The sequence below is a fragment of the Homo sapiens genome, chromosome 18 (genome assembly GCF_000001405.40).
Source record: "Homo sapiens chromosome 18, GRCh38.p14 Primary Assembly".
In the NCBI taxonomy this organism is placed as follows: domain Eukaryota; kingdom Metazoa; phylum Chordata; class Mammalia; order Primates; family Hominidae; genus Homo; species Homo sapiens.
Window position 1 is genome coordinate 21,836,058 of NC_000018.10, and position 21,825 is coordinate 21,857,882.

General features: G+C 36.8%; 1 protein-coding gene and 1 pseudogene across 3 annotated transcripts in view; one reads left to right on the forward strand and one right to left on the reverse strand.

Moving 5' to 3' along the window:
- MIB1 (MIB E3 ubiquitin protein ligase 1) overlaps nt 1-21,825 on the forward strand; it is a 166,038-nt gene that overhangs the window by 131,142 nt on the left and 13,071 nt on the right. For all 3 annotated transcript variants that reach the window (XM_047437676.1, NM_020774.4, XM_011526098.2), the window contains 7 exons: nt 2,308-2,440; nt 7,074-7,160; nt 8,035-8,196; nt 10,887-11,068; nt 13,139-13,331; nt 17,083-17,161; nt 21,073-21,186. In XM_047437676.1, the coding sequence (XP_047293632.1) occupies nt 2,308-2,440; nt 7,074-7,160; nt 8,035-8,196; nt 10,887-11,068; nt 13,139-13,331; nt 17,083-17,161; nt 21,073-21,186 (950 nt within the window). The remainder of the gene's footprint in view (nt 1-2,307; nt 2,441-7,073; nt 7,161-8,034; nt 8,197-10,886; nt 11,069-13,138; nt 13,332-17,082; nt 17,162-21,072; nt 21,187-21,825) is intronic.
- On the reverse strand, nt 18,588-18,930 carry RPL34P32 (ribosomal protein L34 pseudogene 32; annotated as a pseudogene).

Consider the following 21,825-nt stretch of genomic DNA (forward strand, 5'->3'; position numbering starts at 1 on the left):
GGGCTGTTACATGGTGAAACCCCGCCTCTACAAAAAATACAAAAAAATTAGCTGGGCTTGGTGGCATGTACCCATACTCCCAGCTACTCGGGAGGCTAAGGCAGGAGGATCATTTGAGCCTGGGAGGTTGAAACTGCAGTGAACTCTGATCGTGCCACTAACTGCACGCTAGCCTGGGCAACAGAGAGAAACTTTGTCTCAGAAAAAAACAAAAGGTTTTTTTTTTTTTTTTTTGAGATGGAGTCTCGCTCAGTCGCCTGGGCTGGAGTGCAGTGGCTCGATCTCCACTCACTGCAAGCTCCACCTCCTGCGTTCACGCCATTCTCCTAAAAACAAAAAGTTTTTAATCAAGCTAATATATGTACATAGTTAAGTCAAATGTTACTACAAAACTTATAATGAAAGAGAAATGTCTTCTGCGTCATCCCTCCTTACCCCTTTTTTGTCCCGACCAACAACTTGGAACTTATCCTGTAATTTCTTAATTTATCAATTATAGGCATCTAGTGATTTCATGTTATGGAAAATGAAGATTTAAAACTAATACCCTCTGTTACTACCATTCCTTTCAACATGATTATATCACAATTTTTGTTTAAATTAATGACAAGTATTTACATTATTATTTTTACATTTTGTTTTTAATAAAACGTTTTTCCACTTTTCACATGATTTAATACTTGTATCTTTTAAATTTTCCAGAACTGTTTACCCCTGTAAATTTTGTTTCTCACATGCTCAAATGTGTAGGGTAAGAGATAATGTATGGCATTAACATCATGACTATCCAAACATCAGTAGTATAATGTCGTACCAATACTTTTTCCCATTGAGAATCTCAAAGTCTATACAATATCTAGTATTTTATTTTAATTTATGGAATGAGGAGGACTAAAATCCTTACTAGTGACTGAAAACAAAAGCAGAAAACCTTAGTCTTCTATGAAGCCCATGAATGGGATTTAGGAGTTTGTAGACTCACCCAAAATTGTATTAATAGGTAAAGATTTTGACATGCATTTCTCTGGAGGAGAGCCTATAGCTTTCCAAAGAAGCCTGTTATCCCCAAACAGTGATTGTTACTCAGTTACAGCCATGGAAGGGGCTCTGTAAGCTGTGATTCTCAGTATACTTTGGGTTCATAAACCTGTTTAAAAAGTCTAATAAAAGGCCGGGCGCAGTGGCTCACGCCTGTAATCCCAGCACTTTAGGAGGCCGAGGCGGGTGGATCACAAGGTCAGGAGATCTAGACCATCCTGGCTAACACGGTGAAACCCCATCTCTACTGAAAATACAAAAAATTAGCCGGGCATGGTGGCAGGCGCCTATAGTCCCAGCTACTCGGGAGGCTGAGGCAGGAGAATGACATGAACCCAGGAGGCAGAGCTTGCAGTGAGCTGAGATCGTGCCACTGCACTCCAGCCTGGTCGACAGAGCGAGACTCCGTCTCAGGAAAACAAACAGACAAACAAAAGTCTAATAAAAGTTTCCAAATGATTTAAGTGTAATTTTAGAGGTTCTTCAATCCTCCACAACCCATTCTCAGACTTCTTGAACTTAGTTCTGCTCTTCGGTGGTTGGAGTTTAAATCTTTAATTCTCTTTTGTATAACTTTCTCTTTTTTGCTTTGAAAATACTTTATTACTGATTTTTAAATTTTAAATATTAAATTATAATGGCCATTTTGTGTGTTTTGCTCCAGACTTGGTTTACCACTTCTAAATGACATATGTCAAGTTTTAACTTTGCAATTCATGATAACCAGCTACACAATAATCGTCAGCTAAGATGGTTCAGCATATATAGTGTATTAATTATCACAGTTTTTCCTACTTCTAAAAATTATTATCTGGCTGTTCTTCATTAACTCTTTCATTAATAAATACTGTTGATACTGAACCTGAGAGGTTCCCCAAAGCCAAAGTGGTGCCCTCATTAGGGTATATTTCTTTTCTCTTTGGTTTTTTCCTCTTAGGTTTCCTCCTTGTAGCACTTCCATTCTGTTTTGATTCTATTTCCCAGATAGTAATAGTGTGTCTACCTCTCAAAATATCAAAAAGCTAGCTGGGCATGGTGGCATGTACCTGTAGTCTCTGTCAAGGCCAGCCTGGGCAACATAGCAAGACCTCATCTCTTAAAAAAAAAATTAAATTAAAGCTGCACATTTGAGATTAGAAAAGTAGAATTTCTATTTGTCTCTAAGAGCATTTTTTTCTTTAAAGAGGAGTATCTTCATTTGATTGCAAACTTTTCTTTTGAGTATATCAAATTATGCAAATATAGAAATAATGTGAATTTAACTTTCAGTGCAATGCGTGTTTTACTATCTAAATTACCAAGACCATGGATTGTGGATGAGAAGAAAGATGATGGTTATACTGCCTTACATCTGGCTGCCCTTAATAATCACGTAGAAGTGGCTGAACTGTTGGTACATCAGGTAAGAAAAGAGTTAAATAATTCCCTCTTTTTTATTTTTTTTTAAACAATTTGGGACCATTGCCATTCATTTATTTATTGCTTTATAAATTGCCTATTAGTAGGTTCCAGTAAAACCTCATGATGATGAAAATTCAGATATAATGCATATTCTGTCTTCTGCCTAATACTTCTTAAATGCAGGATGGTGATGTGTGTTTGAGAGTGAGTCCCTCAATTCCCAGGATTTCCTCTGCACAGTCTTCCTGGATTGGTCCTGTGAAATGGGCATCAACTAACAGAGATTTCCCAGAATGGCTGCCACTGTTACGGAAGTATCATCAACCAGAGCACCAAGAACCATCTGTGTTGATACTTAAACAGTATGGCCAGTTGTCATCAGACTGCAGTTTGCAGCTAAGATCAGGGGATTTATTTCGTAACTACTGCTGACCCCTGGAATTTATGGCTCGATAGCAGTACAGACTCACCTTGGTCATTTCATTCATCTCAGAATAGGATGACACTACGTTTTTATGAGCCTGGATTTTGGGAGGAGCCTATTTTGTAGTTTTAGGATATTTTAGTAATTTCAGCAAATTTTTCATGTGCAAGCATAAACCATATAGATGCACTGAAGTTATCAAAGAATTATCTGTGATTCCTGACTTCAAGGAATTTATAGTCTAGTTAAGAAGATGAAACAGCAGAAAAATTTAGCAAATAATATATGTAATCAAATACCAAATTATAAGGTATACATTCCAAAAACTACAGAAATTTAAAGAAATATATCAAAAGTTAAGCCACCTCCCCCCCACTACTTTAAATCTTTGCTATTAAAATTACTGCTCTCTGTTAATTATGATAATTCCTTTTTATTCAAAAATCTAAGTGAACTTATGCCACTATCATGTTGCCTTGGTTATTGTTGCCTTATAGAAAGTCTTGAAATCAGGTAGATTAAATCCTCTTTCTTTGTCTTTCTCAGGATTACTCTAATGTTCTAGATCTTTTGCATTTGCATATAATTTTTTGTTTGCTTTTGAGACTGGGTCTCACTCTGTCACCCAGGCTGGAGTACAGTGGCACAATCATGGCTCACTGCAGCCTTGACCTCCCAGGCTCAAGCAGTCCTCCTGCCTCCCAAGTAGCTGGGACTGTAGGCATGTGCCACCATGCCTGGCTTTTATTTATTTATTTTTTCTGTAAGACAAGGTCTCACTATGTTGCCGAAGCTGGTTTCAAACTCCTGGGCTCAAGTGATCCTTTTGCCTCAGCCTCCCAAAGTGCCACCATGCCTTGTCCATATAAATTTTAGAATCAGCTTATTAGTTTCTATTAAAAAGTCTGTTGGGAGTTTGATTGCTCTTGCACATATTAGATTTGTTCTTCAGCAGCTTTTTGCGGATGTTATTATAAATTGTATTTTAGCTGGATGTGGTAGCACACCCCTGTAATGCCAGCTACTCAGGAGGCTGAAGCAGGAGGATTGCTTGAGCCCAGCAGTTTGAGTTACAGTGAGCTATGATTACACCACTGCATTCTGGCCTGGGCAACAGAGCGAGACCCAGTCAATCAATGAGTCACTCAATAGAATTGTTTTTACATTTCAATTTCCATTTGCATATTGCTAGTATATATAAATACAATTTTTGTATATTTTCCATATATCCTGTGACCTTGCTTAAACTTATTCTGGTATCTTCTCTACAGATTACTTAGTATTTTCTATATAGCAATCATACAAACTAAAAGAATAAAAAATGCAGAAGTAGAACCACACATATGTATAAACAGCAACTCAAATTAAGAAAAAAAAGAACCACACATATAGTCAATTACTTTTTTTATAGAAGTGCCAAAGTAATATGGGAAAGGATTGTTTCCCACAAATAGGGCTAAACCAAGTAGATATCCGTATACCAAAAACAAAAAAACCCAAACAAAAAAACCTTAACTTTACTTCACAACTTACGCAAAAATTAAATGAGTTATAGACCTGAATGTAAAAGCTTAAACCATAAAGCCAGCCAGGCCTGTTGACTCATGCCTGTAATCCCAGCACTTTAGGAGGCTGAGGCAGGAGAATAGCTCAAATCTAGGAGTTCGAGACCAGCCTGGGCAACATTGTGAGATCTCATCTCTACTGTATATATATATATATATATATATATATATATATATATATTTTTTTTTTTTTTTAATTAGCTGGGTGTGGTGGCATGTGCCTGTGTCCCAGGTACTTGGGAGGCTGAGATGGGAGGATCACTTGAGCCTGGGAGGTTGAGGCTTCAGAGAGCCATGATGGCGCCACTGCACTCCAGCCTGGGCAACAGAGCAAGACCTTGTCTTAAAAATAAAACAAAAAACAAACACAAAAAATTAGTATTAGTATATTATCTGACAATGAGGTGCACAAAGGTTTTTAGGAGACAGAAAGCCATAATCTTAAAAGAAAAATTAATAAATAACACTTCATCAAAAACTAAACTTCTGCTCATCAAAAGATACCATTAAGAAAACAAATAGGAAAGCCACAGTAGGGAGAACATATTTGACAAAGGACTGGAATCCAGAACTCTGAAAATTTAATAATAAAAGGACTGGCTGGGTGCGGTGGCTCATGCCTGTAATCCAAGCACTTTGGGAGGCTGAGACGGGTAGATCACTTGAGGTCAGGAGTTTGATACCAGCCTGGCCAACATCGTGAAACCCCTTCTCTACTAAAAATGCAAAAATTAGCCAGGCGTGGTGGCACGCACCTGTAGTCCCCAGCTACTCAGGAAGCTGAAGCAGGAGAATTGCTTGAACCCAGCAAGTAGAGGTTGCAGTGAGCCAGCATCATGCCACTGCATGCCAGCCTGGGTGAAGAGGGAGTGAGACACCATCTCCAAAATAAATGAATAAATAAAAGGACAAATAACTCTATAAAAATGGTCAAAAGATTTAAACATCCACTTTACTAAAGGAGATATACAGTTAGCAAATAGGCAAGTGAAAGCATTATTAGTGATTAACAAAATAGAAATTATAACCACAACCAGTTACTACAATTGCCCACTTAGAATGACTAAAATTAAAAGACCAATAAAACCAAGTATTGGTTAGGATGTGGAACAATTAGAATTTGTATACATTGCTGGTGTTTTTTTTTTAAAGCAGGCACTTTGAAAAACAAATTGGTGGTTTCTTACAAAGTTTGACATATATTTATCATGTGACTCAGCTATCCCACTTCTAGGTATGTACCCAAGAGAACATAGGACACCTTTCCAAGCAAATACTTGTACTAAATGTTTGTAGCAGCTATTATTAGCCCCATACTGGAAGCGAAGCCAAATGTTCAGGTAGTGCTGGGATAAACAAATTGTGCAAATTGTGGTGCACCTATGCAATGAATACTACTTAGTGAAATGTCAATGATGGAAAAGCTCAGGAAACTTAAAGAAAAATCCCCATTGTGCACATTTATGTGAGAAATAGACATGATAAAGAATTAAGCTGACACTCGGAAGGCTAAGGCAGGAGTATTCCTTAAGCCCAGGAGTTTGAGGCTGCAGTGAGCTATGTGCCACTGCACTCCAGCCTGGGTGACAGAGTGAGACCCTATCTCAAAAAAAAAAAAAAAAAAAAAAAAAAAGAAGAAAAGAAGCTGAGATCAGGTACCTTCTGACCACACTTCAAAGAAACATAATAAAAACAAATGAGAAATTCCCATCTTGAAGAATATGACATAACATTACCAAAGTTTCAGCTCTGCATACCCCGCCAGTATCAAGAGTTGTAACCAGAGGGCATGCATGGTTCTAAGACCTAAACGAAATGATCGGTTTATCTTTTGAATCTTTAGCTCTTTTCTTGATCTCATTTTAAAAAATTTTTAAATTATGCTAGACATTTGCTAGGCATTTTCATATGTTATTTTACTTAATCTTCACATTAGCCCTGTGAAATAGGTTTTAACTGTCACCATTTTGGAGCTGAGGAAGTAGATGATGGAGTTTTGACCTAGGTCCCCTGACTCCCAAGTGCACTTATTTTGCTCCTCAGTCTCTTTCTTCATTAGGGTTCAGCTGTTCTCATACGGTTCTTCAGCTGCCCTAGGTTCTTGGGTAGGATTTTCTGCTTACTTTAATGCATAATTTTATGTACGAATTAAGCATTACCTTCTCACCTAAAGCAAACTTTCTTTTCACAGAGTGAGGAAGAGCTCAAATATGCAGCAAGGGGAAGTGAACTTATTAGGTCATTAAAGTAAATCTAAATCCAGTATGAAGACTCATTATTATAACTTTTCAGGAAATATTTAGAGTTCTAAGGAGTTGATTATCTCCATTGCTTTATAGTGGAGATTGAAAGAGATCTGTCTTTGAACTCTACTGTGCTTTGTCCTTTTTAACTGTTCTTGGGTGGAATTACCATAATAAAAATGATTTTTAAAACTTGCTGTTTTACTTCAGAAAGTTTGTTGCCCCATCCATTTTTTTCTACTTTAACAGCAACTGTTACCATATGAGAATAACATTGCAGCAGCTGAAGGAGAAAGTAGCCAGCAGTGTTCGGTGTTATTTATTCCTTATGAGTAGTTATAGTTTTCATGTTCTTTACTGTTGTCAAATTTTAACCATTTAACATTTGTTCTTCTCGTTCAGGGTAATGCAAACCTGGATATCCAGAATGTGAACCAACAAACTGCCCTACACCTTGCTGTTGAACGACAGCATACCCAGATTGTTAGGGTAAAGTATTGACATACATTTTAGCTTATAATTACATTTTAACCATACAGATTTTTAGAACTTCCTGAAAATTGAAATGATACAGTGTTACATGTCTCAAGCTGGCATAGTTAGATATAAGTAAATCTAAATATCTAAATACAATGTGATCTGCCAAGACAGATGAGACCATATGCTTGAGATTGGCTTCTATATATAGATGGTACTTTTCTAAAGCTCTTCAGTAAGTATCGTAGAAGGGATTAGGAAAATTGTTAAAGCACCATAAGCAAAGTTTTAATAAACTTATATTTACTGCTTAAGTAATCTATTGAAATATGTCAACTGTGCATTTTTATTTAGGGGGTTGTAGTTTAGCAAACACTGTTCGTATTTATTGTTATTTGAAATTCCTCTTGATATCCTCCATGGCTTTCTTCATGACCATACATTTGGAGAAAATTGACCAAAAGAGAATGGAATCAATAATAACAGTTCCTTGTTTGTTTACATAATAGAAGAATTTTGAACATTATGATTTGGTCCTGGTGGAAGTGCTTAAAATATCTCAAGTCATACATCTAAAGTTGAAAAGAGAAATAAAGTCCTAAATATCCCTCCGTTATCATCATCTTAGAGTAGATGAATTAAGCAACATATTGATTCTCATATATTTTTATTTTCTCTAATTCAATATATTTAAATAACCAGAACACGTGACTCTTTGTAAGGAGCCACAGGGTTGGAGAAGAGTAGAAGGCAAAAGCATAAAAATGATTAGCTTTAGTGGTAACTTCTTCAGTAGGTCCAGGGTGTTCTCACCATTACTTTAGATATGTTGAAGTTTCTTATGGATGTGGACACTTTGCCAAAATGAGACATCTTTCTCTTTTAGCTTTTGGTCCGTGCAGGTGCCAAGCTTGATATTCAGGATAAGGATGGGGATACTCCTTTGCATGAAGCTCTAAGGCATCACACTTTGTCTCAGCTACGTCAGCTCCAAGATATGCAAGATGTGGGGAAGGTGGATGCTGCCTGGGAGCCATCCAAAAACACGGTGAGTAAAGATCATCTTTCATTCAGTACCAGTGGAAGAATCTTTTCATGCAAGATCTTATATTTACTGGTAATCTAACCTGTATTGGATAAAATATTTTATCAGAGCTATGTACTTAGAAACTTAGTTTATGAACTTAGTACTAGTCAGTACTAACTTATTGCTCCACATTTTTACCAAAAGTTGTTCAGTTCTGTTGTTGTTGTTGTTGTTATGTGGAGTCCCACTCTGTCACCCAGGCTGGAGTGCTTGGCTCACTGCAACCACCTGGGTTTAAGCCATTCTCTTGCCTCAACCTCCCAAGTAGCTGGGATTATAGGCGCCTGCACCACACCTAGCTAATTTTTGTATTTTTAGTAGAGACGGAGTTTCACCATGTTGGTCAGGCTGGTCTCGAACTCCTGACCTCAGGTGATCCACCCGCCTCGGTCTCCCACAGTGCTGGGATTACAGGCCTGAGCCACTGCGCCCAGCCATTCAGTTCTTTTTTAACATCAGCCATTCAAATAGATACGTAGTGGTATCTTATTGTGGTTTAATTTGCATTTTCCTAATGACTATTGATATTGAGCATCTTTTCATTTGTCTGTCACCATATGTATTTTATGAAGTGTCTGCTCAAATCTTTTGTTCATTATTTTGTTAGGCTGTTTGTTTTCTTACTACTGAGTTTTGAGAGTTCTTTATGTAATCGGAATACAAGTTCTTTATATGTGAATGCACATATTTTCTCCCAGTTGGTAGGAGATTTGTCTTTTCATTCTTTTTTTTTTTTGAGATGGAGTCTCGCTCTGTCGCCCAGGCTGGAGTGCAGTGGCACAATCTTGGCTCACTGCAACCTCCGCCTCCTGGGTTCAAGTAATTCTCCTGCCTCAGCCTCCCAAGTAGCTGGGACTACAGGTGCATGCCACCACGCCCAGCTAATTTTTTGTATTGTTTTTAGTGGAGACGGGGTTTCACCTTAGCCAGGGTGGTCTTGATCTCCTGACCTCGTGATCTGCCTGCCTCAGCCTCCCAAAGTGCTGGGATTACAGGCATGAGCCACCACACCCAGCCCTTTTCATTCTTCTAATAGTGATTTGGAAGAGTCAAATTTTTTAATTTTGAGGAAGTCTAATTTATCAAGTTTTTCTTTCATCATTTGTGTTTTTTGTGTGTGTTCTGTCTGAGATATCTTTGCCAAACCCAAGATCGCTAAGGTTTTCTTTTATGTTTTGTACTAGAAGTTTATAAAGTTTTAGCTGTTATGTTTAGGTCTATGATTCTTTTTGAGTTAATTTGTATATATTGTGTGACATATGGATCCAGGTTTATTTACTTGTGGATATCCAGTTGTTCCAGTGCCATTAGTTGAAAAGACTTTGTTTCTTTTCTTTTTTCTTTTTTTTGAGACAGAGTCTTGCACTGTTGCCTGGGCTGGAGTGCAATGGTGTGATCTTGGCACACTGCAACCTCTGCCTCCTGGGGTCACGCGATTCTCCTGCCTCAGCCTCCCAAGTAGCTGGCATTGCAGGTGCACACCACCACACCTGGCTAATTTTTTGTATTTTTAGTAGAGACAAGGTTTCACTATGTTGGCCAGACTGGTCCCGAACTCCTGACCTCATGATCCGTCTGCTTCAGCCTCCCAAAGTCCTGGGATTACAGGCATGAGCCACCACACTCGGCTGAAAAGACTTTCTTTTTCTACTGAATTGCCAGTATACTTTTATCCAAAATCAGTTAATTGTTTATGTGAAGGTCTCTTTCTGGATCATGTATTCTGTTCTGTTGGTCTATGTTTTTAGCTATTTGATACCAGCCCCCAGTCTTAATTACTGTCTACATAATACGTGTTGAAGTCAGGTAGTGTCAGTCCTCCAGTTTTCTTGTTTTTTCGAAGTTATTTGACTATTCTAAGTCCTTCACATTTCCATAAGAATTTTAAAATCATTTTTTAGAGGGTAAAAAGGTTCTGAGACCAAAGTGTTTGAGACCTCTGCCTTATTTATGACCATGGGTAAGTTCTCTTAGCTCGGTGTGCCTCTTTTTTTCTCATTTTAAAATGGGAAGAGGAGAGCACTTACCTCGATAAGGTTGTTGTAAAGATCATGGAAAGTGTGTAAAATAATACTTGATCCATTTTAGACACTCAATAAATGTTAACAGTTATTGTGACTATTTTCACATAAGATGATGAGAAGAATCTCAGATAATATTATCAGAACCTAATTTGTCTCATTCTCCGTATCTTGGCTCAATTCCTAGTCATTGGTTCTTTTCTCAGTTGTCTCTCCTGTCATTGTTTCAAGTTGGTTGCTAGCTGCTCCAGAGCCAAATTAATTAGGAAAGAGAGTACTGTTTCTTTAGTATCTCAATCAGAAGTTCCACTTTTGAGTTCTGTTGGGCTTAATTGACTTGATTTGTGTTATGTGTCCATCCCGGTTCTAGCCATATAGGTAAGGTAGAGGTATCTGACTGGTTTGGGCCATGTTTGGTCCACCTCTGCAGCTGGAGAATGTAGGTCCACCTCTACAACTGGAGAAAGCATACTTGTGTGTATGCTTGAGAAAACCAGGGGTAGAGTGGTGGGGAGGGAACATTAGGACTAGAACTCATAAGTGTCCACCACACACACATACATATATATGATGACAAGAATTGATGGCAGATTCCTAGAGGGAAAATCATGACTCTTTATTTTATTGCAGTTAATAATGGGACTTGGTACCCAGGGGGCAGAGAAGAAGAGTGCAGCATCTATTGCCTGTTTCTTGGCAGCCAATGGTGCTGACCTGAGCATTCGAAATAAGAAGGGTCAATCGCCACTTGATCTCTGTCCTGATCCGAATCTCTGCAAAGCACTGGCAAAGTGTCATAAGGAAAAAGTCAGGTTTGTATTATTTATTATCATAAAACTTAATATTCTGTACAGAAAATATCATGTGGTTTCGTAATGGAGGACGTGGCTACTTGAAAATGTCTTCATCTTTGCTCTTCCTGTATATTTGTGTTGACCCTTTCTTTCCTGAAATTTTTCTTCCTTGAAAATTTTTCTGCAGGCAGCATGTCTCTTATTTTATGCCATATTCCCCACATTATTGAGTGCAATGCTCTATACTTAATAAGTTCTGAGAAACTTTTCTAAACTAGTCTGATCTTCTAGTACTCCCATGTGTTAGAGGGATTTATGAGAAAAAGTCTTCTAGTAAAATTGCTGTTGTTAATGTTACATGTATTTTAAATTGTATTTATTTTTTATTGTATTATTATTATTTTTTAAAAATACGTCTTGCTGTGTTGCCCAGGTTGGGCTTAAACTCCTGGGCTCAAGCAATCCTCTTGCTTCATCCTCAGTAGCTGGGACTGTATGCATGTGCCACTGTGCCTGGCTCTATATTTAAAATTTAAATAGAATCTTCCTAAGACAGGCAACTTATACTCCATGAACAGGGTATATCTCACACAAACTGTAGCACCCTGCTCAGTGCCTGACAGGTGCACTCAGTATCAGTGGAGAATGAACAAATGAATGCACCAAGTCCTGGTGGAGTTTTCTCTAAAGATGATCATTTCACATTTGTCTCTTTTTCTGAAAGATATGTCAGTGATTTTAATTATTATTTATGACATAACTAATTTCCTTATGAGATTTTATAGATGTACAAAAAGGTACACATCTCATTGCTTTTTTAAATCTGAACAGTGCTGTGCAACTGTTGTTGCCCTTTGTACCTGGTTCTTGTCACTGAAATTTCAGTAGCTGTTCCTTAACCTTAGTGTTCCTTGCCTCTCTCATAATTTATGTGTAGTGATGAAATGTCATCTCTTTGGAATCTGTGCATAGAACTGTGTTATAGAGGAAATTAATATAGTGAGGTATATACATTTCTTTAAGTGTATTGTTAAGGAACATGAAATTCTATTACAAAAAGAGAATGCATCGGCCGGGCGTGGTGGCTCACACCTGTAATCTGAGCACTTTGGGAGGCCGAGGCAGGTGGATTGAGGTCAGGAGTTCAAGACCAGCCTGACTAACATGGTGAGACCCTGTCTCTACTAAAAATACAAAAACTAGCTGGGCGCATGCCTATAATCCCAGCTACTTGGGAGGCTGAGGCAGGAGAATTGCTTGAACCGGGAGGCGGAGGTTGCAGCAGTGAGCCGAGATCACACCACTGTACTCCAGCCTGGGCAACAAGAGCAAAATTCTGTCTCCAAAAAAAAAAATCTATAAATATAAAGATATAAGGCACTATAATTATTGCAGTAATAACTTTTAAACAATGGAGTCTAAGGTGGACCCTCTGTGTACGTGTTGTGTACGTGTTCGTGAGTTTCTGAAGATTGTGGTAGAAACAGGGCATCCCTTTTCTGTAGCTGTAGGTGGTCATATGTATTTCTGTTCCTTGTATCTGTGTTTACGGATGCAGTCTATCTTTCTGTAATATAATTTTATGTTCCTTAAGGATACACTTAAAAATGTCAAAACAGCAGCTGAAGTGTTAAATTTTCCAAAGTGCCCTATCTGTTGTGGACTCTGATGATGCTTTGTTCCGTCTTTAGTAAGGCAACTAACATGGGGGCTAGTGAGGATTTTTGTTTTATTCCTATGCCTTCCTCTGCTGGTTCTATATAGATACAACAGGTTCTGAGCAAAATTTTGTTTATGCTAAGTTTTTTTTTTAATTGCTGTTTTTTATTTCATTGTTAGAAGATTCACCCTTTTCCATTGGGTGAGTGAGTGTTCAGTTTGAAGTTTGAATTGTGTTAGAAGTATCTAAAGATGCAGAGACGCATATAAACACAAAAATTTAATGTTTCACATACAGATGTTAAAGCTTAATTTTTTAATATGACTAGTTTTTATGTATACTAATGATGCTCCAGGTATATTTTAAAACATTTTAATTAGTGAATTTGTAATAAGATAGGCTTGATTTGAAATACTTTCTTTTATTAGTGGTCAAGTGGGTTCTCGGAGTCCTTCTATGATTAGTAATGATTCTGAAACCTTAGAAGAGTGTATGGTGTGCTCAGATATGAAGAGAGATACTCTTTTTGGTCCATGTGGACATATTGCTACCTGTTCTTTATGTTCTCCACGTGTCAAGAAATGCCTCATCTGTAAAGAACAGGTTCAATCCAGGACAAAGGTAAGATATATTTAATATAGTATTTTGTCATTTTATGAAGTTGAGACTAGAATTAATGATAAATAAGATTTAATGACATCATGCGTCTGTGTAATTTTGCTCTTCCAAACAATGATTTAAATATAGGAATATATAATTTCTGCATTTATCAGATCAGAATTTCTTATTTTATTGCTTGTTTACAGTCTTGCTTATTAATGTACTGATTTGCTAAGTTAATTATTGTTTGAGTTTATTGATACACCATTTTTACTGTCAAATTTTTTTAGCTCTTAATGTGTTTCCTTCATTATATCTAAAGTATGGTAAAGTTAAAATTATCTACCATTTTGCTTTCAAAGCTCCCTATAACCTAAGGATACATTTACTTCCACTTTGGATTATAGTTACTTATATGTTGCACTTTTTTTGGAGTACAAAAACTGTTTTGCATTCATGTTTGTAAAATAATTCATTTTTTTGGTAGAATGTCACACATTCTAGATTTGATTGTTCTATCGTGGTGTTGTTTAACTTGCTATCTTCTGTGTTTCCTGTAAGCTGGAAGTTAGATGTAATAGTTTGATCAGGGTCAGCTTAACATTTTTGGCAAGAAAGCTTCACAGTTGGTGCCACACACTTTACATTATGTCCCATCTGGAGGCAAATAAAGTCTTGTCTCCCTGTAATTAGTGATGGCCAAAATCTATATCTACTCTGAACTTTTTCTCTCTCCTGACTCCTTTTGCTTTTTGAGAAGTATAGTTCTTTTCTGAGTAACTTAGTGCTTTATTATAACTGTACCAGATTACTAATTTTGGTTTACTGAAATAATTTATTTTTTAGTTTTTCAATACTCAAATGTGTGTGTGTATTGCATATAAAGTGAAATTTGAGTTTCTTACAAATGTTTCTCTCAAGGTGAATAGTTTAAACCAAAGAGCATGTTGGTTTTGAAGTAAAAACTCATGGAGTTTATACTCTTTTTCCATTCCCTTCTTTTTATAATCTTTATTTCTGTCTTGCTATTTATTTTTTCTTAAGCTATTCATTAACCATCATTAATAAGAAAGGAGCTGTTAGTAATTATCATAATGAATTAGCTGGCAGGGACTTAAAAGGTGTTGCCTTGCCCCTGCTTCTTCTACTTTCAACCTTCTAAGCCTGGATGGTTTTTATGATCCAAATTAATGTATCTTTCGTAGAATTTTTGGCACAGGAAAAAGCACAAGGAAGTTATTTTTGATAGGAATACTGGAGTGCTTGTATGTATGTAGCTGCTTGATCAATTCATAAAGCTGAGAAGGGTGAACTAATAGCACTTATTGTGTGCCAGACACTGTGTTGGCATTTCATTTGTATTAAATAGGTGTTAACCCTGCTTAATAAATTAATGTGGATCATTCTACTTAGCATTTATAATTCGCTTTAGCTACCTGTTTACGAAGTAATAGTTTGGGAAAGAATACAAAAGAAGAACAAAAATTTAAGCCATTCTTTTGTCTTTAGATTGATCTGTGTATTCTGCCATTGTGTTTGAAACTTTTTGTTAGATTAAGCCCTATTTCAACAAACCTTTATTGAACATCTGTTTTATAGTCAAGACAAAGATGTATATAATAATTACCTGCTAAAAATGTGTAATCTATTGGTAAACTATGACTTATATATAAGCAACTCTGCCATATTGGGTGTTGTAGGTGCTTTAAGAGAGTTAAAAACTGAGTAGGAGTTCAGAGCCTCTGGTTGTCAGAAGCAGAGTCTCAGCTATGAAGTTATTCTTATAAAAGCTGCAGCTCAAAGAAATGGACTGACATCTGGTTCTTGAATGCAGGTCTCTTGATTCTTAAGCCCCTGTTCTTTTCACTGTGTTATGATGCATAGACAAAATTAAGAACGATGTCTGCAAGGGATAGTTGATGGAACAGAGGAGAGAGGAAAGAGGAAAGAATATGCTTTCGTTCTTTTTCAGACCTTTTGAATATAGTTATTCTGAGAATTAATAGGCTTGCAATTTGATTTTTAAATTATGAAAGTTTTATAATTTATAATCTTATAAATTTATAATCTATAGAAAAGTAGAAAAACTACGGATATACCCACCCAACAGATTTGCCAGGTTGGTTGTAGAGCCTTTGACTACGAAGAAATAGTGACCCCAAGTGGTTAAAGGATAATGAATGTCTTCATTGAAGAAAAACAAATTACAGTATTTGGAGGGAGGTATAAACAAGCATGGGATCCTTTTCTGTTAGAGAAATACAAAGAAGGAAATTAATTGAATTAACATGAACTATTTCAGTTGAAGTAGCAAAAATACATTTTAAAAAGTGCTAGCAAGGAAAATGGCAAACAGGCACTCTCTAAACACTGCTGGAGGCTAGGTGGCCAACCCGGCTATATGTACAGACATTACACAATATGCTTTGGTTTAGTAACTCCACTCCTGGAAGTATAACCTGAGGAAATAATTGGAGGAAAAGGTATGGCTACAGTTTTTTTTTCTTATAATAGCGGAATAGGTACAGATATGGTTTTTAGATCAGTTTGCTGTATTATTTTAAACTCTTCAGAAACAATTCAGACAAAAAGACAAATGCAATGGAAATCATTTTAAAAATCAACATGTTATATAGAAAGGAGAAGATAATTATTATGTATTAGGCACTGATTTTATATATTACACATTGAACTACTTTATACATATCTGATTTACTCTTTATCACTCTGTGAAGGATTATTCTTTATTGTTTAGATAAATAATGTTGTAGCTCAACAATGTTAGGTAATTTGTTGGTGTTGGAGGTAGATTTTGAATCCAGGAATGTCAGTGTCTTGATCAACTATGTCTTACTGCATTCTGCATTCTGCTTTTTCTATACTTACATAAATTCTATGTACATACTGAGGTGTAAGTTGGGAAAGTCCATAGAGAGAAAGAGAGAGAGCACACGTGCATGTATTTGGTTGTTTGGATGATGCTGTAGGTGAGTAGTAGTTACCATTTTTGGTGACACAAGAGATGGCTAAATGTGACTGTGTGTTAGAAGGGAGAATAGGTGAAAGACAGATGAGTAGCCAAGGGCTATGGGGTAGGGATACAGGAAGCCAGAGCCAAGGTGGTTAATAGTTAAATGTCCAAGCTCAGATTAAGTGGACATGAAGAAGAGGTGAAAGTGAGGGAGATTATGAATAGGCTGTGGAAGTCTTGCTAGAGATCAGGGAAAAAGAATAGCCCAAAGCTGTGGGCTTCAGGCAGCATGGGAATTGACCAAGTCCTGGAAAAGGGCACTTTAAGGTAGAGTTTCTTAAATGTGGGTAAACAGAAAAATCCCTCGTGGATTTTAGCAATTTGGCTAATCTAGCTAGATTTTTATTAATATTAGAAATCTGTCTTTCAGTCATTTCTTATTTTACTACTTTATTTGTTCGTTGTCTTTTTTAGTTTCCCCTCAAAAGTAGTTTTTGGGGGAAAAAAATATTGAAGCCTCCAGAGGCTTCCTCAGAGGAAATGGAGTTTTTTCTATTCTATATTTTAGGACAGATAGGGAGATGAAGGTAGAATAGAAATAAGTGCCTGTTAAGCTAGGGTATATAAAGATGTGAAAATGAATAACCAGGAAAGTAGAGGATGGGAGGAAAGTGTGTGTTAAATTTCTCTGTGCCTAGGTGTTTTCTTACAGAGGAAATACATTTGGATATAATTGAACTTGTTAAGAGTTACTAGATTTATCTGTAAATGGTCACTGTGCTGTAACCTCTTTTTCTATAGATTGAAGAATGTGTGGTATGCTCTGACAAGAAAGCAGCTGTTCTTTTTCAACCCTGTGGCCACATGTGTGCTTGTGAGAGTAAGTAGCCTATGCAGAGTTCCTCAATATTATTATAAAAATAGAAAGTGAAACAAAAATTATGTTTTTGAGGGTTTTTTTGCTTTTGATTTTGGATAACTCATAAAAAAGTTGATGGGCCTCGAGTACCTTCTATTTCTTTCTCTGTACTAGAACGTCAGCTGTTTCCCTCCATGCGTCTGAGCATTAGGGAAGACTGAATATGCTGTGTTCTGCCACCTTGGATTTTGATTTCAGTTGTATTAGCACAAAAGGGTCTCTTTCCACACATAATAGAAATTTATTTTGAAAAATAAATGTTGAAACATTTAGTCTCGCCTTTGTTCACATATGAAATTAGCACGTCTTCATTTGGCTTCACCTTAATATTGCCTCTCCTGTGTACTTTCCTCACTGCAGAAGAACCAACAGCAACCATTTCTGGGGCTGTAATTTCTGGCCTTCTGTAAGCTTTTATGTCAAGAGAGCTTTTAGAAATCTTTTCTTTGTGAGGGCAGTATTAAAATTTAAAAAATGTTTTTAAGTTTCTTTTAAACATATTCTCTTGAAGTCCTTTGCTTTTCATATTGCCCTTGTTCAAGTTCATACACTGTTAAATATTCTCTTCCCTTTGCTTTTCTTCATTTTGTCAATAAAAGATTTTATTTTATTTTATTTTTTATTTTTGGCACAGTCTCGCTCTGTCACCTAGGCTGGAGTGCAGTGGCACAATCTCGGCTCACTGCAACCTCTGCCTTCCCAATTCAAGTGATTCTCGTGTCCTCCGCCTAGGCAACAGACTGAGACTCAGTCTTAAAAAAAAAAAAAAAAAAAAAAAAATTCCAATAGGCAGCTGGTCAACTAAAGAAAGGGTGAACGTTTTCTTCTGTAACATTTTGCCTAAAGTGACTGTTTCTGTTTACCAAAGAGTGGTATAATGGCTATTACCCAATACTATCAAAAGGGCACATAGAGAATTCTCTGTCTTAAGTAAAAAAGGACTCAGGTTACTTAAGTTTTCATAGGCCAGAGGTTGGCAGACATTTTTTGTAAAGGGTGAAATAGTAAATATTTTTGGCTTTGTAGGCCACATGGTTTCTGTAGTAACCACTCAGCTCTTTCCCACTGCTGTACTCTGCACTATAGTGCAAAAACAACCATGGAAAATATGTAAATAAATGGGCCTGACTGTGTTCAATAAAACTGGTCTCATAAAAGCAGATGACACGTCAGATTTGGCCCTCAGGTGTAGTTTGCTGACATCTGTCATTCACCAAAGTGATACCTACATGAGACTTGAAAGATGATTATAATTATTAGTTGTTCACACAGATTCTAGAGCCTTAATATAATATTTCCCCCCAGGAGCTTCCAGAATTTTTTACATGGCGTTTGCTCCTTTTTTTTTTTTTTTTTTTTTTTTAATTAAAAAAGCTTCAGCTTTAAATTTAGCTTTCTGACTCTGGGCTTGTGCCTTCAACATTTTCACGACGACATTCTGCTCTTTGAAAGGAAAGCATGCTTGGTCCTGTCGTGGATACATTTAGCAGTCATGGAAACACCATTGGTCGTGCTGACACTTTTTAAAATTTTAGACAACCTCACAAGAACTTGAGGTCTCACAGCATAAATCCCTTGAAGTCTGCCTGGGCACACGCCACATGCAGACATTGGTGCTTTCCCTACCTTCTTGATATAAAGGTAAACAATACCAGGGTTTGGGACAGCCTAGTTTTGTTAGATGCTGTGTTGTAGAAAAGCCTATGATGGTGCGTCAAACACTGGATCATGCTGAGTGCCTCTAGATAGCATCTCTGGAAGAGGAAAAACAGTCTTTGCTTTAAAATGCATTTAATAACGAGAGCAACACCAACTTTTATTGAGCTCTTAATTCTGTACCAGGCATTTTAATCTCTTTTTGAGTATTTCCTCATTTATTTTCAGAACAATCCTAAGAAGTAGATGGTTTTCTTGATTTTATAGACATGCTCTTAAACATTTATTTGCTAACGGAGATGAAACTGAGGTGGAACATATGCCTTTCCCAAGGAGTATACAGTAATGTAGTTCGTCCAGTACCCCCATCGCAGTCATGTTAGGCGGTGAAAGTGCCTTGGCAAGCCAAAGGAAGGAGAGATTACATCCCTTTTGGAGGTGCTGAAGAAAGATTAGAAACAATACAGATAGAAACAACACAAATAGAGAAGATAGAAGCAAAGATAGAAACAATACAATAACTGAACTAAACAGTTAATTTTAGATAATTGTGTTTATGTATTATATATTTAGTCAATTAGTCCTTTATGTTTAAGAAAAAAATCTGCCTTCAAATTGAAGACAAATCCCAAACCAGATTTCTACTTAACGTTGGCTCCTACCTAGTGCACTTGTATAACCGAGCGTCAGACCCATTTATGTTTAGGCTTTGGCAAGAGGTCAGCCTTGGTAACTGACTGTTCTCCATCCAGCAGTGTGCATGGCAAACTATTAGGAGTGTAGGCCCTACTTTGTCCACATCAGTGGTTTTGTGCTTTGTTCAAATCTAGTGGTTTGCCATAACCTGGATATTCTGCCATGGTTCCCATTATTTTTCCCATTTTTGAAATGAACAAGACACTTGATATGTAGGCTAAGATATGGAATATATTTTCATAATGAATGTTAATGAGAAAGAATATGTTGAATTGCTGTGTGTTATTTTATAATTAATTAACAAGTTTAGATGTAAGGTAGTATTAACAATCATAACAGGGCCGGGCGCGGTGGCTCACGCCTGTAATCCCAGCACTTTGGGAGGCCGAAGCGGGTGGATCATGAGGTCAGGAGATCGAGACCATCCTGGCTAACAAGGTGAAACCCCGTCTCTACTAAAAATACAAAAAATTAGCCGGGCGCGGTGGCGGGCGCCTGTAGTCCCAGCTACTCGGGAGGCTGAGGCAGGAGAATGGCGTGAACCCGGGAAGCGGAGCTTGCAGTGAGCTGAGATTGCGCCACTGCAGTCCGCAGTCCGGCCTGGGCGACAGAGCGAGACTCCGTCTCAAAAAAAAAACAAAAAACAAAAAACAAAACAAAACAAAAAAAAAACAATCATAACAACATACAGTTGTGCCTAGATATTTCTTATTGGAATAGGAATGCATTCTTCTGAAATATTGTTTATAGCCTTTGTAAATCAAATATTAGAAAGATAGTCTTTTATGAAAATTAAATTTTTTTCCTGAACTGCTATATTAAAAAAGTAATCACTAAGCAATTTCCTTGTTACATTGCATCAATTTGATAAGAGAAGGAAATAATTGTTCATTGTATTTTAGCGAAAAGCCATTTACAAAAGAAAATGTTTTTAGAAAATTATCATGTCCGGGGGTGTTGGGCAGGGGGAGAGAGAGCATTAGGACAAATAGCTAATGCCTGCAGGGCCTAAAACCTAGATGACAGGTTGATAGGTGCAGCAAACCACCATGGCACACTTGTACCTATGTAACAAACCTGCACGTTCCGCACATGTATCCCAGAGCTTAAAGTAAAATAAAAATAAAGAAATATAAAGAAAATTATCACGTAAGCAAGCTTATAATTCTAGTATTAGTTGACATTTGTCAATAGTATCTCTCTCCTTTATTCTCAAGTCTTAAAATCTTGAAATATTTATTGTGTCACTTATTTCTTTAAAAAACAAATTTCACAGTTTATTCAGCTGTATTGGAAAATGTCATTGTTTTCATAATGATGGGCTCTCTATTCTGGAGGCTACCGATGGAGAATACTCATTCTTAGGTTGATAACATTTTAAGGAGGTAGAATTGCATATTGCTATAACTTGTATAACATTTATTTCAGTGTGAAATTTAAGTCATAAAAATTAGCAGAGAAAGGCAACACTCCTATTAATGTTCTCTCTTGTAAGAAGTGTCTGTGTTACCGTTTTCCAGACTGTGCTAACCTGATGAAAAAGTGTGTGCAGTGTCGAGCAGTAGTTGAACGAAGAGTGCCTTTCATTATGTGCTGTGGAGGGAAAAGTTCAGAAGATGCCACTGATGATATCTGTAAGTCGATTGTCTTAAGCATTTTCATATTTTGCTTTTTTTTGGGACTTGCATAAACACCTCTTCTCTTTCGTAATACACTACTGCCTTATAAAACCTAAGATGTCTGACTTGGATCCACAGTGGAACAGGTATTGTTTTCTGGTGCTCTTATTATATTATAAGAAACCTGAAGTTCTATTTTTGTGTGATTATGGAACTGTGAACATCAGTCTTCTGAGAAACCTGCATGTATGCTATAAAGAATATTGTTGTGTTCTTGCATAAAGAAAATTTGTGCTCTATTTTTAAGATGAAATTTAGTGTGTTTTGTCAAGGGGTGGGACACCATATTACAATTTATTTTTCAGTTTACTGAAAGTATTAACCTGCTTCCATTATGCAACAGGTTTATTTGCTTCATTTAAGTATTTTATGGAATGGTAATTATTTGGGACAGAGTAACTATAGGTAAACAAAAATGTAACAGTGAAAGGGTGGAAAAATGAAAAATAAATGATTTACCCTCAACATTTTCAATAGTACAGTTGTTTCAAAGTATTTTTTCTCTTTGCATTAGATATTAGCTGAATGGTTTCTTTGATTTCTTTGTTCTCTGAACATGTTTTATGAGCAGATGAGGAAGAGCATTAGTGTGTA